The 17,419-nt window shown below is 42.2% G+C and overlaps 2 annotated features.

Annotated features, from left to right (window-relative positions):
* Positions 353 to 1,552: an enhancer, noted in NCBI's record as "MED14-independent group 3 enhancer chrX:45662536-45663735 (GRCh37/hg19 assembly coordinates)". NCBI's record gives its function as "activates an origin of replication core promoter dependent on BRD2, BRD4, P300/CBP and CDK7 cofactors, and independent of MED14, by STARR-seq in HCT116 cells {active_cell/tissue: HCT116}" and the evidence as "EXISTENCE:reporter gene assay evidence [ECO:0000049][PMID:35650434]".
* Positions 4,066 to 4,155: a silencer, noted in NCBI's record as "silent region_20789". NCBI's record gives its function as "represses an Ori minimal core promoter by ATAC-STARR-seq in GM12878 lymphoblastoid cells {active_cell/tissue: GM12878}" and the evidence as "EXISTENCE:reporter gene assay evidence [ECO:0000049][PMID:35858748]".

Here is a 17,419-nt window from a genome sequence, read left to right on the forward strand (position 1 = left end):
AGACACAAAAACAGGAGACACCCTCAATTTGGATTGAGGTGTCCTGCAAAGGCTTGAGGCAATTCTTATACCAAACGTCCATATAAATCCCTCTGAATTCATTTTTCATTTATATACACCAACAAAAACGCTGAAGAGTAGAATACAATAACCAAATTGGATTTTAAAAGTTATTTCCTTTTAAAATAAGCAATCTGCTCTAATTGTGAAAGCAAAACTCTTAGATAAAATTTTTCCTAAATACAAAAAATGTTTCCTAAATACAACACTAAGCTCTACAGGATGGTTTCTCTGGACCCCTTGCCCAGGGTCAAGTGAAGTTAGGAAAATGGAGTTTCAAGGAAAATAACATTTACAAAATATTTTCAAGAAGAATGAAAACAAAACATTCTCTGATCAACACACAGATAATAGAAAATTCCACAACAGACTATCCTGTCCTTGTACATTTTGATTGGTTGTATGTTTGCTCTATTTATAAATAATGTTATGATCTTTCATTTTAAAAAGATAGCATCTATGTTTACGAAAAAGATGGTTGGTCAGTTCTTGTACTTTTTTATACCATGATAAGAAAAAAAAAAAAACCCCTAAGAAGAAAAAGTCAAACAAACCTTTTATGGTTTCAGTTCACAGACATTACTGCCAACCTTGTTTTAATCAACTGGTTGCTCTTGCTTACTGGACATCTATGGTATTTCTTCAATGCAAAACAACGAGCAAGCTCATCTGCCAAGAACTCCCCCCAGGAGGCCAGTGGAAAAGAAGCCATACTTGTAAGAATTCTAAAGGAAACAAGAACTTTGTAAGGGTAAACGGAGTTACTTCCGAATTTCCCTAAGGGAATCCTTATTGTGACCACTTCAGCTGCCTTTTGTATTAAAGCAACCTTTAAATAGCTCTCCTTCTACTTATATTCCTCCTAAATTCACTATTGTTACTCATTATGAGTTCACCAATATTAGTCAGCACAAGTCAGTTAGTCACCATATTTTTTAAACCACCAAGCCCACCCACCCCAACCAACTTCTGGTTTTCCCTTCCCTTCGGTATTTTGCAACATTTGAGAAGATGAGTAACTATACCCAAGAAATGCTGCTGGGCTTCTTCTGTTTGCTTGTGGTCTAAACAGTGACCATATCTCCATTAAAAAAAGGAATGCAACTCTTCACAACTCTTTCCAGCCACTTTCTTCTCTCGTGAGAAGGTAATACCTGGGATTTAGGGAGTTACCTTCAGATTAAAAATTTATTCCGCATATTTTGCTTGGCCATCATTTCTCTTAAACTTATTTAGTAACAGGTCACACAGTCAAATTCATTTCTTTATCCAAACAATAAATAGGCAAATGGGCACCATTCTTTCTTTTGAAAGACCCTAGTCTATGGTTTCTGTCAATCACAAATAAGAAATGAAAAATGATCCTGGAAACTATGGCCTGTGTTGGCCTTCAAACTTATCTGTCAATTGAGGTCCTACACAAACAGCCCCAACATATCTTCTCTATCTGGCAAGACTTTCACAAATCCGCCATCACTATAACATGCTTGCTGGATTGAAAGAAAAAGCCTCCTTGCTCTGGGCAATTCACAGGGGCCTTGAAAGTTCCCCTGCCCCTCTGTCCATCCATCCCCAACCACCTGAAACCAAAGGCTCCTCGAGAAACAGAACTGGAAATGGAAATGGAAATGGAAAACTTCCCTAACCACCGTGACTACCAGCCACTTCCTGCTCTCTGGACTCACAGTGCACTGACATCTCATCCTTCCTAACCCACCATGTACCCACATCTTCCCTTCCCTACTCAACAGTTTGCTCCTTCCAGAGATTCTACCCTGAAGTTTCTCTGTTTTACCCACAACACCTGGCATTTGGATGAACATACTAAATGTCTGCAAAGCCAAACCTCCTTCATTTTTTAAAGGTAGGACATCCGAGACCCAGGGCAAATTCTTGTCCTACCCATGTGTGGGTTTCATTCAAGCAACCTGGAATAGCAGTGGTGTATAACTAAAATAAATAGCACAAAGGAGAATTCCCCCAGAGAACCAGTAATCACCATCTGCACCTCCTAATGAGCATGACAAATGTGTCCCTCACAATACTAAGGTAATCTGCCACTTCATAGGGACCTTTTCTTCCACATGGACAAATGCCACCATGAATTGCCATGGAATTGTCTATTTGGCCTTTACAGAGTGGCTGCATTGAACTAAGAGAGGGGTTTTGCTTGCTATGCAACATTGGGTGTAGACTTTCTCCTTGAATTTCTTATGAAAAGGAAAGATGGAAGAAAGTGGTTGTCAACATGCAAAAGTTTTTTAACTAGCCATTCACATTGGAATATGGAAAAAATCTTCACCTATTAATTGCTATACTTTCTCTCTCTTGTGTGTGTGTGAGGAGGGAGGAGGTGAGAGAACCAAGAGAAGAGCCAGGAACGATAAGGGAACAAACTTCATATTAGAGTAAACGTGATTTTTCCAATACGCTCATAGTATGCTATCATTCCCAATTACCTTCCCAACTGCACTTCTCATATAATGTATTTGGGAGGCCGAGGCAGGCAGATCACTTGAATCAGGAGTTCAAGACCAGCCCGGCCAACATGGTGAAACTCCGTCTCTACCAAAACTATAAAAATTAGCTGGGCATGGTGGCAGGTGCCTGTAATCCCAGCTACTCGGGAGGCTGAGGCAGGAGAATCGCTTGAACCCGGGAGGCAGATGCTGCAGTGAGCCAAGATCACGCACCGTACTCCAGCCTGGGTGACAGAGTGAGACTCTGCCACAAAAAAAAAAAAAAAAAAAAAAAATACCAGTACTTTGGGAGGCTGAGGAGGGAGGATCGCTTGAGGCCAGGAGCTCAAGACCAGCCTGGGCAACATAACAAGACTCCATCTCTATTAAAAAAAAATTATATATATCTCCATACCATAAGTATTTTGAATGAGAAAAATTAATTATGTATCATTATTTGTTATAAAGTATTAATTTTTTTAAACTTTATTTTTTAGGTGGTAGGCATATGTGTTCACTGTAAAATCTTTCAACTTTGCTGTAGACTTGAAGATGTTCATAAAAAATAGGAGGAAAAACTTATTTTTTGAAGTCGTATACACACAAAAATAGGGATTGTCAAAAGTCTCTTTAAAGTATTTCTCCATGTCTCCAAATTGGCCTCAACAAAGCAAGGAGTCCTTGGCTTCCACCTGCCTTCCAAAGGGATCCCTCACTTTGGGGAAAAGATTTGCCAAGGCCCTCACCTGACACACACCTGAGAAACAGCTGACTGCCCTGACAGTTGGCAGGGCTTAAGCGTGCAACTCCTCCCCAGCATTCTGTAGTGTAAAGGACAGGACCAGCTGTCACTGCTGTAAAATGGTGCACCTGGTCCTCCCTCTGCATCCCATACTCAACTCAAGTGCGTCCGAGGGTCTGGGGCCTGGGGCCACAAGGAAGCCACATTCTACAGAACGCAAGTACTTCCCCAGGCACTTCAGACTTGTCTGTCAGCTTTTTCTGAAGCTTTTCTGGGGGAAAAAAGAAAAAAAAATCTTTTTCTGAAGCTTTTCTCCTCTCCAGCCAGTCAGCTGCACACTGTCTTGCTTTCCGGAGGACATCAAAGAAGCAGAGAAAGGCAAAGCATTCCCTGACTCCCCTTAACTCCGGGCAAGATAGAGACATTTTTAGTGCTGTAGTGGAGACCACACACTCTACACCACATCCCAGCTCACAGACGGGCCCTAGCCAACTACAGGAAAAGTTAAAGAGAAGCTCCCACCCTGGGTTGCTTCTCACCCTTATCCAGGAATCCTAAGGGACGGGGAGGAGAAAAAGGCTCATTCTCACAGCTTGTACCTGCCAAAGACAGGCAATCACTAACACTGCAGCATCTTTGAGGACAAGGACCCCAGCCACTCTCAAAATCTGGCCTCTCCAGCTGTCTCATCATTTTGCTCTCAGGAAAAAACAAAGTTGAGAAAAAGTGAAAGTAACACTACGCATTTCAGATTCTCCCTATCAGATTCTACCCCAACCACGTGTTCTTTCAAGTCAAATCTTTGTCTTCGGGTTCTCTGGCAGCACTTCTTAGACTAAAGCCAGACCACAGAGCGTATTGCTGGTGTGGTTTTGCTTTAGCCAGAACTGCTGCTTCAACTCTGAGTGGAGCTGGAATCCATATAGAAGCTGATCTGTGAGAAAAACCCACAAAGTCCAATGGGAAAACCCATTAACTAACCTTAATGATCTCATAGGTCATCCATCCTTTCACGGCTCCGACAGCTCCTTTCTCGCCCCACCCCCTTTTCCCCTTATCTCTTCCCTCTAGACATTCTATGGAAGCACAGACAACTTTAGGAGAAAATGCCAACTTTATCAAGCTCTCCAGTGAACACTTGAGCACGTGCCTTAGTCTGTACCCCTAAGGGACAGTCTCAGAGACTGTAATACTAAGAGAGAGCCAGATGGGGTATATGAGGAGGAGGGTTTTGGATTTTGAAGGAGTGCAAACCTAAATTGCTTGTACTAGAATTTCAGTGGAGGAAATTCCACGTTTTGCAAGTATGAAAGTCTGATATTAAATATCACAAACAAAAATTCCATTTCTTAGCGTACATGTCTCAGATTTAATTTCTCTATGTTCTCTGTGGTTTGGTTGTTTTACCTCCCAAGAAAAGCTTTCGTGAGACCACTCTTTACAAAAAGACAAACTGCCTTCACAGATGAATGGGTAAACAAAATGTGGTATATGTACATAATGGAATACTATTCGGCCTTAAAAATAAGGAAATCTTGTCATCTGCTATAACATGGATGAACCTGTTGGACATAAAGTTACATGAAATAAGCCAGACACAGAAAGACAACTGCTGCATGATTCCCTTTATATGGGGTATCTAAAGTATTCAAACTCTTAACAGAAAGTACAATGGTGGTTGTCAGGGGCTGCAGGGGAGAGGAAAATGGGGAGTTGTTCAATATACTTTCGGTTTTGCAAGATGAAAAAGTTCCAGAGATCTGTTGCGCAACACTGTGAATATATTAACACTACTATACTGTACACTTAAAAATGCTTAAGGTGGGAAATTTTATGATATGTTTTTTGCCACAGTTTAAAAGGTACCACCTTCATGCTACATTTTGGATACTCTAAATCGCCAAGTCAGCATTTTGATATTTAAAAATAAAGCAAATATTTGGGTGACTTATATCTTAACTGAAAATGAAAACCCTAAAATTAAATTGCTTTGAAGATTCAAAAAGGATAATTAAGAAGCACTTGAAACCATTGCTTGAGCCAAACCTTGTCATTTTAAGCATGCATGACATTTTCATAGCAGGAAGGGTCCTGGCATTCTTCTCAAATGGTATGTGTGGTATGCTGAATCGGCTTCTAAATCAAACGAGGCTGCTGATATGTAGCCTTTTAGCAAAAGAAGGATATATCACAAGACAGCCTTAGAGACTGAACACTGTGGCTATTATAACAAAGCGGCAAAATGAATCATTCATGCGTAGAGGGAGTATACAAGCATTACTAGCTACGGCTACTTTTTGAATGGTTCCCGCACCGGTTCCCCCTCTACCAAACCTCTCTTTACTCTCTCATTACTGTAAACACTAATCCATCATCCGTTCCTCTGAAACGTAGACGTTTCTCTAAGGAGACAACATTTGTAGAAACAATAACTCTTAAGTTGAAAGAGCAAAGTGGCAAGGCAAACTTATTCACACAGCCTTCCGTTCAGAAAAGCTAAACTCAAAGGAAACTGCACAGTTCTAAAGCTCGTGATTTCAACTTTCCACTGTAAGAATTATAATGTAAGGGAAAGAATTGGAATGCTGAAGACTATTTCCCCTATAACAGAAATCTGATGAACATTTCTGTAACTTGGCTATGGAGATTAAAAAACAAGTACTATATAACTGAATTTCCCAATAGCTCATGACTCCTTAGCTTTTGGGATCTATGATTCAGAACATTCTCCTTTTGCATTTCACCAGAGGCATTAGTGAGGTATGTGAAAACATGAACAAGATAGGAAATATATTTGCATAGTTTCTGTATGATTTGCATACTCCTCCACAAACTGTAATCTATTGAAAACACACACACACACACACACACACACACACACACACACACACAGAGTAAAGGTTAGTTTCTGAACGCCATAAGGCATGCCATGATTTTTCTTACTTCTGCCCCCGTCTCAATTAATTTGTACCTAATGCCACTATCACTGACACAGAGTACCATCTTAGAGGTACAGGAGATGAAAAACCAAGGAGAAGCAACCCTGTGAGGCTTTGTCCAGGGCAAGCCTTCAGTGCACATACTGGCCTAAGAAAGGCTGCGGTAGGTACATACCCAGGCACATTCTGGCAGGGGTCTGAGAAATAAAGGAGAGAGAACAGAACTGAACTGCAACGTCATGGTTCAAGCAATAATCTGTGTCCCAAGCTATAATCAGCAAAGTCTCCCAAATTCACATGCTGTTGAGCAAAAGAGAGGCCTTAACTATGAAGTGTGCAAGGCCTGGCCCTGCCCTTCTCATCCCTCCTCATCCAAAGGCCCCCTCCTTGCTCATACTTCATCACCCATCTTCTCCAAATCTAGTCATAGGAGCTGCTACTAAATGACTCTACATGGTACTTGTTCAGGGAAGTTGAAGCTCTTGTCCTCTCGGGAGTGTGTTCCTGTTTTAACAAAAAGTATCAGGCCGGGCATGGTGGCTCACGCCTGTAATCCCAACACTTTGGGAGGCCAAGGCAGGAAGATCGCTTGAGACTAGGAGTTCAAGACCAGCCAGGGCAACAAACTGAGACTCCCCGTCTCTACAAAAAACTTTTTAAAAAATTTAGTCAGGCATGGTGGCATGCGCCTGGGGTCCTAGCTACTCAGAAGGCCAAGAAGGGAGGATCACTTGAGCCCAGGAGATCGAGGCTACAGTGAGACATATGATGGTACCACTGCACTACAGCCTGGGGAACGAGGCAAAACCCTGGTCTCAAAAAAAAAAAAAAGCATCAAAAATCTTCCATCAAGAAAGACAGAAGCCCTGGGTGAGGACTCCTAGGGGCCAGAGACAACTGCTCCCGATGGCCAAAGCCTGTTCCCACCCCCTGAGCAGCACCAGGCTCCTGACAACAGCCCTGATGCACAAGTGGCAGGGCTGACATGAATGAACTGCTTCTTTCTGGTACTGTGCAGTCATGTACACCCCCCACCCAACCCCGTAAACTTCTTCCCCCTCTCAAATCAGGCTGGGTGTGCCACATGGTGATGTGAACAGAGTACCTGGGATCCTCAGACCAGAGGTTCAAACTCAACACCAAAGCAGACAGCAGGGCCTCCTCAAACCAGCCCTCTCCCGTCCCTGTCTAAATAAAGGAACACAAGAAACACATTTAACAACTCTTAGAATGACCTGGCCCCTCTAGCTTTCTAGTGACCCGACACTAATACAAGACACTGCTATAAACAGTTCCAGAATTAGAATCAGCATCTGTATCTTGAAGCTGCAAAGAGAGAAGGGAAGCTTTGATTGGGTGTCCTTTGGGACATTATTTAGATCTAAGTGGCCAGGAAGAGGCACACTGTGCACATAAAACTGACTACAAGAATTAGGGACAATCCCAACTATTAATAGCCAACATTCCCTACAGGAGGGAAAAAAACAGGGAGGGGAGGCAAGGAAAGTGAAGGTAATACCAATTATCCATTATTGTGTAAATGACATAACTTCAGGCTTCACTTTCCTCACTACAACTTAGAGAATTCGCAGATTATCTCGGGGATAACTTACACTTATATAATGGTGGGTGACTACGGGCTTTATGGGTCCAACCCAGAGACCTAATTCAGAATTGTGGTAACCCACCCCACACACCATCTCTTCCCTCCCCACCTGCCCAAGAGACGGCCAAACCCCACAATTAGACAAAGGAAAAAGGAACAAAGAAAAATGAAGGACAAAGAATACTATGGTCAAGCTTAAACCACACATGGCCAGCAGAGATATTTTAAAGAGAAGACGGGAGAAAAAAAGAAAAGAGGGGAAAAAAGAAACCGAAGAGGCCACCATGCCAGGGACTTCACAAGGGACAGAGGATAAACATGGGTGTAGAAGAGGCCTTCCCCTTATCCCGAAAAAATGAAGAGTTGCACTGTTTTGTGGCCAACCCCACTTACCACCTGCCCTTTCTCATATTCTTACACATGCAAAAGTGCTTGGAAAACTTTAAACCAGCCACTACATGACACAGTTTGACTTTTACTATATCTCTCAGTCCCCAATGCTAACTACCCTAAGAATATGATTGAGGCTGATTAAAGTCCAATAAGAATATGCTAAATAATCACTCCCTTGTATGTATCTTCAACTCCCTTTCCACTACCTCACTTTGTCATCCTTGCCTGGCAAGACCAAATCCCTGCTTAAATCCAGTTCTTTGTCAACACCACGTCTGCACCCACTCGGTCCATAGTGATAGGAGAAAAACATACCCCCACACCAACTACTCACTTTATATTCATGGCCACCAAACTCAAATGGGCCCTGAGTGCTTTCTGATGATCATGATACATTTTACTGGCTCAATTACTCTCAGATTCTCCCCAATGACTATTTCATACACATGGCTCTCCTCATATCTCTGATGCCTCCTCGTTATCCTCACACTCGGCTTATCTTCCTGTTTCACTGAAATACCAGGCACAGTCAGAACAGACTTTCCACAAGTGCCCCCCCCCGCCCCCGCCCACCCATCGCATCTGTCCTCCTAGCTACATCTGTGCCTTTATCACTCAAGACAGGCCAGCTTATGCTCTAACAACAACCACTACAACCCTCAGGAGCTTAACGACAAAAGACAGTAAATGTTCATCATGGTCAGCTGAGGGATCTGCTCTACACTGCCCTTACTCAGGGATGCAGGTTGATTGATAATCAGCCAGATTCTGGAACATCACCAGTCACCATGGCATAAAGGAAAATAACTTTTGAAGATGTTTACACTGACAATTAAATGCTATAGCACAGAAATACGTGTCATTTAACACAATTCACCAGCCACAACCAGTTACATGATCCCAGCAAGCCATCAGAAGCCAGGAAGAAGAGTCCTACCATATGCCCACAAGTCAGAGAGTTGAACAGCTTTGACATTAGTGCTAATGACTTCCAAAGTGCCCACATACTCTACCTTTTCTCCTGTGAATATACTGTACTCCTAGCTAAGGCCAACCCACTCATGTGCTAGGATCCTTCTTGCCTCCTGAAACATAGCAATTCTACAACTGGCTTCTCTGTCTCCTGTCTCATAAATATTTGTCTCTCTACTGAATCATTCTTAGCATATAATCATTACAATTACTTACCTTAAAAAACAAAAACTGGCTGGGTGTGTTGGCTTATGCCTGTAATCCCAGCAATTTGGGAGGCTGAGGTGGGCAGATCACGTAAGCCCAGGAATTTGAGACCAGCCTGGCCAACACAGGGAGACCCCATCTCTACAAAAAAAAAAAAATTAGCCGGGCATGTTGGTACATGCTTGTAGTCCCAGCTACTTGCAGGGCTGAGGTGGGAGGATTGCTTGGGTGCAGGAGCCCAAGACTGCAGTGAGCCATGTTTGTGCCACTGCACTCCAGCCTAGGCAACAAAGAAAGTCCCTGTCTCAAAAAAAAAACAAAACAAAACAAAACAAAACAAAACACTAAAAGCTTCACCTCATGTCCCCTTCCAGTTACACTCCTATTTCTCTGTTCCTGTCAACAGTGAATTTCCTTTCAGAGAGTTGCTATATTCACTCTAATTCCCCTACCCCACATTCTCTTGAACTCACTCCAATAAAGAGTATCCCCTTCTGTATTAGTCCGTTCTTGCATTGCTATAAATAAATACATGAGACTGGATAATTTATAAAGAAAAGAGATTTAATTGACTCACAGTCAATCTGCAGGCTGTACAAGAAGCATGATGCTGGCATCTGCTCAGCTTCTGTGGAGGCCTCAAGATACTTACAATAATGGCAGAAGGCGAAGGAGAAGCAGGCACAACTTACACGGCCAGAGCAGAAAGAAGAGGAGGGAGGAGGTGCTATATACTTTTTTTTTTTTATTTTACTTTAAGTTCCAGGATACATCTGCAGAACATGCAGGTTTATTACATAGGTATATGCGTGCCATGGTGGTTTGTTGCACCTATCAACTCATCATCTAGGTTTTATGCCCCGCATGCATTAGCTTTTTGTCCTGATGCTCTCCCTCCCCTCCCCACCCCCAGTAGGCCCTGGTGTGTGTTTTTCCCCTCTCTGCGTCCATGAGTTTTCATTGTTCACCTCCCACTTATAAGTGAGAACAGGCGGCATTTGGTTTTCTGTTCCTGTGTTAGTTTGCTGAGGATGATGCCTTCCAGCTTCATCCATGTACCTGCAAAGGACATGATCTCATTCCTTTTTATGGCTGCATAGTATTCCATGGTGTATATGTACCACATTTTCTTTATCCAGTCTATCGTTGATGGGCATTTGGATTGGTTCCATGTCTTTGCTATTGTAAATAGTGCTGCAATAAACATATGTGTGCATGTATCTTTATAGTAGAATGATTTATATTCCTTTGGGTATATACCCAGTAATGGAAAAACTGGCTAGCCATATGTAGAAAACTGAAATTGGACCCATTCCTTACACCTTATACAAAAATTAACTCAAGATGGATTAAAGACTTAAATGTAAAACCCAAAACCATAAAAACCTTAGAAGGAAACCTAGGCAGTACCATTCAGTACATAGGCATGGGCAAAGATTTCACGACGAAAATGCCAAAAGCAATTGCAACAAAAGCTAAAACTGACAAACGGGATCTAATTAAACTAAAGAGCTTCTGCACAGCAAAAAGAAACTATCACCAGAGTGAACAAGCAACCTACAGAATGGAAGAAAATGTTTGCAATCTACCCATCTGACAAAGGTATAATATCTGGAATTTACAAAGAACTTAAACAAATTTACAAGAAAAAAACAAACAACCCCATCAAAAAGTAGGCAAAGTATATAAACAGACACTTCTCAAAAGAAGACATTTATGTGGCCAACAAACATATGAAAAAAAACCTCAGCATCACTGATCATTAGAGAAATGCAAATCAAAACCACAATGAGATACCATCTCACGCCAGTCAGAATGACAATTATTAAAAAGTCAAGGGCCGGGCATGGTGGCTCACACCTGTAATCCCAGCACTTTGGGAGGCCAAGGCGGGCAGATCACCTGAAGTCAGGAGTTGGAGACCAGCCTGGCCAGCATGGTGAAACCGTGCCTCTACTAAAAATAAAAAAATTAGCGTGGTGGCAGGCACCTATAATCCTAGCTACTCGGGAGGCTGAGGCTGGAGAATTGCTTGAACCTGAGAGGCAGAGGTTGCAGTGAGCTGAGATCGCACCACTGCACTCCAGCCTGGGTGACAGAATGAGACTCCGTCTCAAAACAAAACAAAACAAAATACAAAAAGTCAAGAAACAACAGATGCTGGCAAGGCTGTGGAGAAATAGGGACGGTTTTACACTGTTGGTGGGAATGTAAATTAGTTCAACCATTGTGGAAGACAGTGTGACAATTCCTCAAGAATCTAGAACCAGAAATGCCATTTGACCCAGCAATCTCATTGCTAGGTGTATACCCAAAGGAATATAAATCATTCTACTCTAAAGGTGCTATACACTTTTAAACCACCAAACCTCATGAGAACTCTATCTTGAGAACAGCACCAAAGGGATGTTGCTAGACCATTCATGAAGGATCCACCCCCAAGATCCAATCACTTCCCACCAGGCCCCACCTCCAACATTGGGGATTACAATTCAATATTAGATTTGGGTGGGGACACAGATCCAAACCATGTCACCTTCCCACCATCCCTTCACCAAAACAGGTTAAGGTCTCCCAAGACCTCTACCTTCCTACAGCCAATGGCTAAGTTTCAGACCTTATAGTATCCAAACTATCAGCTACATTCAACATAACTGCACACTTCAATTCTTAAAACATTTTTATACTTGACTCCAAGACATTTGGTTCTCCTCCTACTTTCCTGGGCACAGCTGCTCAGTCTCTTTTATTTGTTCTTTCTATGCTCATTTACTACCAACAGTAGGGTATCCCAGGGGTCAGTCAGTGCTCACACCACTCCTCTTCTTGGCTATACTCCTAACATCATTTGAGCTCATGATTTTGAGTGCTATATCTATGCACTGATGACTCCCAAATGTGTATCTTGGGCCTGGATGGCCACACTGAGAAATATTCGGCTATCCAATGAAGTATGAAGTATCACCACTTTCATGTTTCAGATTTGTAGAATTTTGTTAAGAATTAATGACTCAACTTGAAAAATCATCCAGTCCAATCACGTATTTTAGAAGTAAAGAACCCAAGGTTCCTAGAAATAAACTAATTTCCCAAAGATTAAAAAGGGGACTTGTCACCGGATGCTTTCAACCACCTCCCTACCTTCATTAAAAAGCATAATACTGTAGGGCATCCCAAAGATGAAAATAAAGAGGGAAGTATAACAAACAGTAAATTAAGACAATAACAAACTTAAGTATGTTTCTAATAAAGTTAAAATGGAAAAGAACTGGAGTAAGTAAAAAGAAATTCATAAAGCCCTAACAGACTAATAAGAGATGACTTTACCTACTCGTGGAGTTTTTCAGGTCATTCTAGCAAGGACTCAACTTCATTCTCAAGACATTCCATCCATAGCCTAAATACCAGAAAGGGATGTTAACAGGGTAGGTGGTTTGGGTCTCTGGGGCTGGCCAACTCATAAGAGAGCTTGAAAGAGCTGCAGCATTTCTAAGAATGATTCTTCCCAAGTAGGGCTACCAATTGATCATCTCACTACCTCACCTCACTTTGTTTCATGTTTTCTATTTCCCAGCAGCACAGCAAGGTTAAATTTCACAGCAAAAGACACACCTCCTCTTTCATATCCAAATGGACAGCTTACTAAGAATTTGAAAGCTGATGGGGAACAAGGTAAAGCTCAGTTAATATGCCTAAGCAGCCGGACACGGCGGCTCACGCCTGTAATCTCAACACTGTGGGTTGCTGAAGCAGGTGGATTGCTTAAGGCCAGGAGTTCGAGATAAGCCTGGCCAACATGGCAAAGCCCCATCTCTACCAAAAATACAAAAAAAATTAGTCAGGCATGGTGGTGCATGCCTGCAATCCCAGCTACTCGGGAGGCTGAGGCACAGGAATCTCTTGAACCTGGGAGGCGAAGGTTGCAGTGAGCCGAAATTGCACCACTGCACTCCACCCTGGGTGACAGAGAAAGGCTCTGCCTCAAAAAAATAAAATAAAATAAAATACGCCTAAGCAAAGATCACCGTGCATGCCATTTCACAGGACTCGGATCAACTTCTTATGGTGCAAGGCATCATTTCCAAGCTAGTGACAATACTGTGGCATAGATAAATGTACTGACAGGCATTTATGCATTTAATCATACCAAATTTAACTATCCCAACAAATTAACTCACAAGTTTAAATTCAACATATTTAACTATTCTTGCCCTGTGTTTCCTTGTATGAAAAATGAGGTGACTGGACCAGACCATTTTTAGTAACTCCTCCCACATAATTCTTACCCAGGAGGAATATGAACTGCTTTGATAAAGCTATGGCTGGCCGGCCGCAGTGGCTCACGCCTGTAACTGAGGCTGGTAGATGGTTTGAGCCTAGGAGTTTGAGACCAGCCTGGGCAACAAAGTGAAACCCCAGTCTCCACAAAAAGCACAAAAATTAGCTGGACGTGGTGGTGCACTCCTGTAGTCCCCAGCTATTTGGGAGGCTGTGAGGTGGGACAATCACTTGAGTCTGGGAGTTTGAGGCGGAAGTGACCTATGATTGTGCCACTGCACTCTGGCCTGGGCGGCAGAGTGAGACCCTGTCTCTATTAAAAAAAAAAAAAAAGAAGAAGAAAAAGAAAAGCTATGGCCTACGTAGTCCCTAGGATGCTCTAATGGTCCATGAATGTAAAGTAGTTTAGATGATGAGGCAAGACGCAGAAAGCCCACCTTGTCCAGAACAGATATTAAACTAGGGGTATGACAAATTAAATTAATAAAAATTGTATTTATTTATTTATTTATTATAGAGAAAGGGTATTGCTCTGTCACCTAGGCTGGGGTGCAGTGGTGCAATCACAGCTTACTGCAACCTCGACCTCCTGGGCTTAAGTGATCCTCCCACCTCAGCCTCTGTAGCTGAGCCTACAGATGTGTGCTACCACGCCTGGCTAATTTTTGTACTGGTGTGTGTCTGTTTGTGTGTGTTTAGAGACAGAGTCTCACTTTATTGCCCAGCCTGGTCTGGAACTCCTGGACTCAAGTGATCCTCTGGCCTCAGCCTCCCAAAGTGCTGGCATTACAGGTGTGAGCCACCACACCTGGCCAAATTTCAAAATATTTTAAACACGAATCCAACTTCTGGGATGGAAACAAAGCTACCTAGAACGGGAACTATGTATTTTAGAAAATGAGAATAGCTTAAAAAGCTCAGTTCCTATCTCAAGACATTAAGAAAAGCAAAATAAACCTAAAGAAAATAAAAAGAAGGAAATAATAAGAGCAGAAATGAAATAGAAAATGAGGATAAAATAAAGATGATCAACAAAGGCATAAGTAGGCCATTTGAGAGGATTAATATGCCAAATCTTTGATGAAGACTGATGAATAAAACAGAGATAAAGATACATAACTGCACATTGTAAAGATAATCAAAAAGCATATTTCAATCAACTTTATATCAAAAAGTTTTAAATTTTGGACAAATTGGGTAAATTCTCAAGAATGTACAACTTAACTGTCACAAAAAATGTAAAATCTGAATAGTCCTATAAGAAACTGAATCAGGCCATGTGCAGTGGCTCACGCGTGTAATCCCAGCACTTTGGGAGGCCAAGGCAGGCGGATCACGAGGTCAGGGGTTCGAGACCAGCCTGGCCAACATGGTGAAACCCCGTCTCTACTAAAAATACAAAAATAGCTGGTCATGGTGGTCCACGCCTGTAATCCTAGCTACTCAGGAGGCTGAGGCAGGAGAACTGCTTGAACGTGGGAGGTGGAGGCTGCAGTGAGCTGAGATCGCGCCACTGCACTCCAGCCTGGGCGACAGAGCGAGACTCTGTCTCAGAAAAAAAAAGAAACTGAATCAGTAGGCCAAGCGCAGTGGCTCATGCCTGTAATTCCAGCACTTTGGGAGGCCGAGGCGGGCAGATCACTTGAGGTCAGGAGTTCCAGACTAGCCTGGTCAATATGGTGAAACCCTGTCTCACCTAAAAAAATCAGGTGGGCATGGTGGTGGGTGCCTGTAATCCCAGCTACTTGGGAGGCTGAGGCAGAAGAATCACTTGAACCTGGGAGGTGGAGGTTGTAGTGAGCCGAGATCTCACCACTGCACTCCAGCCTGGGCAACTGAGTGAGACTCTGTCTCAAAAAAAAAAAAAAAAGAAAGAAACTGAATTAGTAATTTAGAATCTTCCTATAGTAAAAAAGTAAACTGTATGTCCAGATGGCTTCACCAACAAGTTCTAAGGAAACAATAACACTCCACACAAAGACTTGAGAATAAATTATACAAACACTGTCAGAGAACAGGAGCAAAGGGCACCTTTCCTAGCTTAGAGTTTAGAATGTGTTCAGTACAAAAACACAACTAGAACTGAACAAGAACTGAAAACTATAGGCCAATCTCATTCACGATCACTTATGCAAAAATCTTCAAGAAAATAGTAGCACATCAAATTCACATTTTAAAAGGATAATACACCCTGATCAAACTGGAGTTATTTTATTTCATTTTTTTTTTGAGATGGAGTCTCGCTGTGTCACCCAGGCTGGAGTGCAGTGGACTGACCCCAGCTCACTGCAACCTCCGCCTCCCAGGTTCAAACAATTCTCCTGCCTCAGCCTCCCGAGTAGCTGGGATTACAGACCTGCACTACCATGCCCAGATAATTTTCATATTTTTAGTAGAGACGGGGTTTCACCATGTTGGCCAGGCTGGTCTCAAACTCCTGGCCTCAAGTGATCTGCCCACCTCAGCCTCCCAAAGTGCTGGGATTATAGACGTGAGCCACCATGTCCAGCCTCAAACTGGATTTAAACCAGGATTCCACACTTTAAATTTTTGACTGACATTAAAAGTCAGTCAGTGTAACTTACCATATTAACATATTTAAGGAGGATACTCATATTCTCATCTCAACAGATGTGGAAGAAGTGACATAAGCAAACAGAAGGGAAGTTCCCACTCTGAAAAGAGATACATATCAAAAGCCTGTAATAAATTCCATACATCAAAAGCATTCCCTTTTAGAAAGGGGAATCACACAGGATGCCTACCATCATCTCTTCTACTCAACATTGTACTAGAGGTCCTGGCCATTGCAGTAAGGCAAGAAAAAGAAGGAAGAAAAAAATGATATTATTTACGGATGAGAAGGTTGTGTTCATAGAAAAATCAAAGGAATTACTATTACCACTATTACTACAATTTTAAAGGGTTTATCAAGATTGCTGAATATATTAATGTGCAAAAATAAAATTTTTATTTATCAGCAATTGTTAGAAATAAAATGTTGAAAGACATGCCATTTTGTTAACATCAACATAGAACAAGTACCTGAAATAAATTTAATAAAATATGTGAAATATGTTACTGGATATACCGAGCAAATAAAGCCAGACACAATCTATTTATAGAAAGCTCAACAACAAGCAAAACTATACAATTTAGAGATAGGTAGCAAAATTTAAAAACAAAACAAGGAAGTGATTTTTCATAAAGTCAGGATACCTTTGGGAGAAATGCATAATGATTGGAAGGAGAAGCAGGGGGCTTCTGGGCCCTGGCATGTTGTATTTGTTGACTTCAGTGGTGGTTAGACAGGGCTCATTTACAACATTTCTTTCAGGTATACATTGTTTACATCACACTTATATTTCATAAATGTGCATACATGCATTAGAATTTTTTTTTTTTTTTTGAGACCGAGTCTTTCTCTGTTGCCCAGGCTGGAGTGCAGTGGCGCGATCTCGGCTCACTGCAAGCTCCGCCTCCCGGGTTCACGCCATTCTCCTGCCTCAGCCTCCCGAGTAGCTGAGACTGCAGGCGCCCACCACCACACCCGGCTAATTTTTGGTACTTTTAGTAGAGACGAGGTTTCACCGTGTTAGCTAGGATGGTCTCGGATCTCCTGACCTCGTGATCCACCTGCCTCGGCCTCCCAAAGTGCTGGGATTACAGGCGTGAGCCACCGCGCCCGGCCTCAGAAAAATTTTTAAATTCCCAAGCAGCAGCTACAAAACAGGGGAATCCATATGGTAACTGCATCTTTTAA

Source organism: Homo sapiens, chromosome X, assembly GCF_000001405.40.
Source record: "Homo sapiens chromosome X, GRCh38.p14 Primary Assembly".
Classification (NCBI taxonomy): Eukaryota; Metazoa; Chordata; class Mammalia; order Primates; family Hominidae; genus Homo; species Homo sapiens.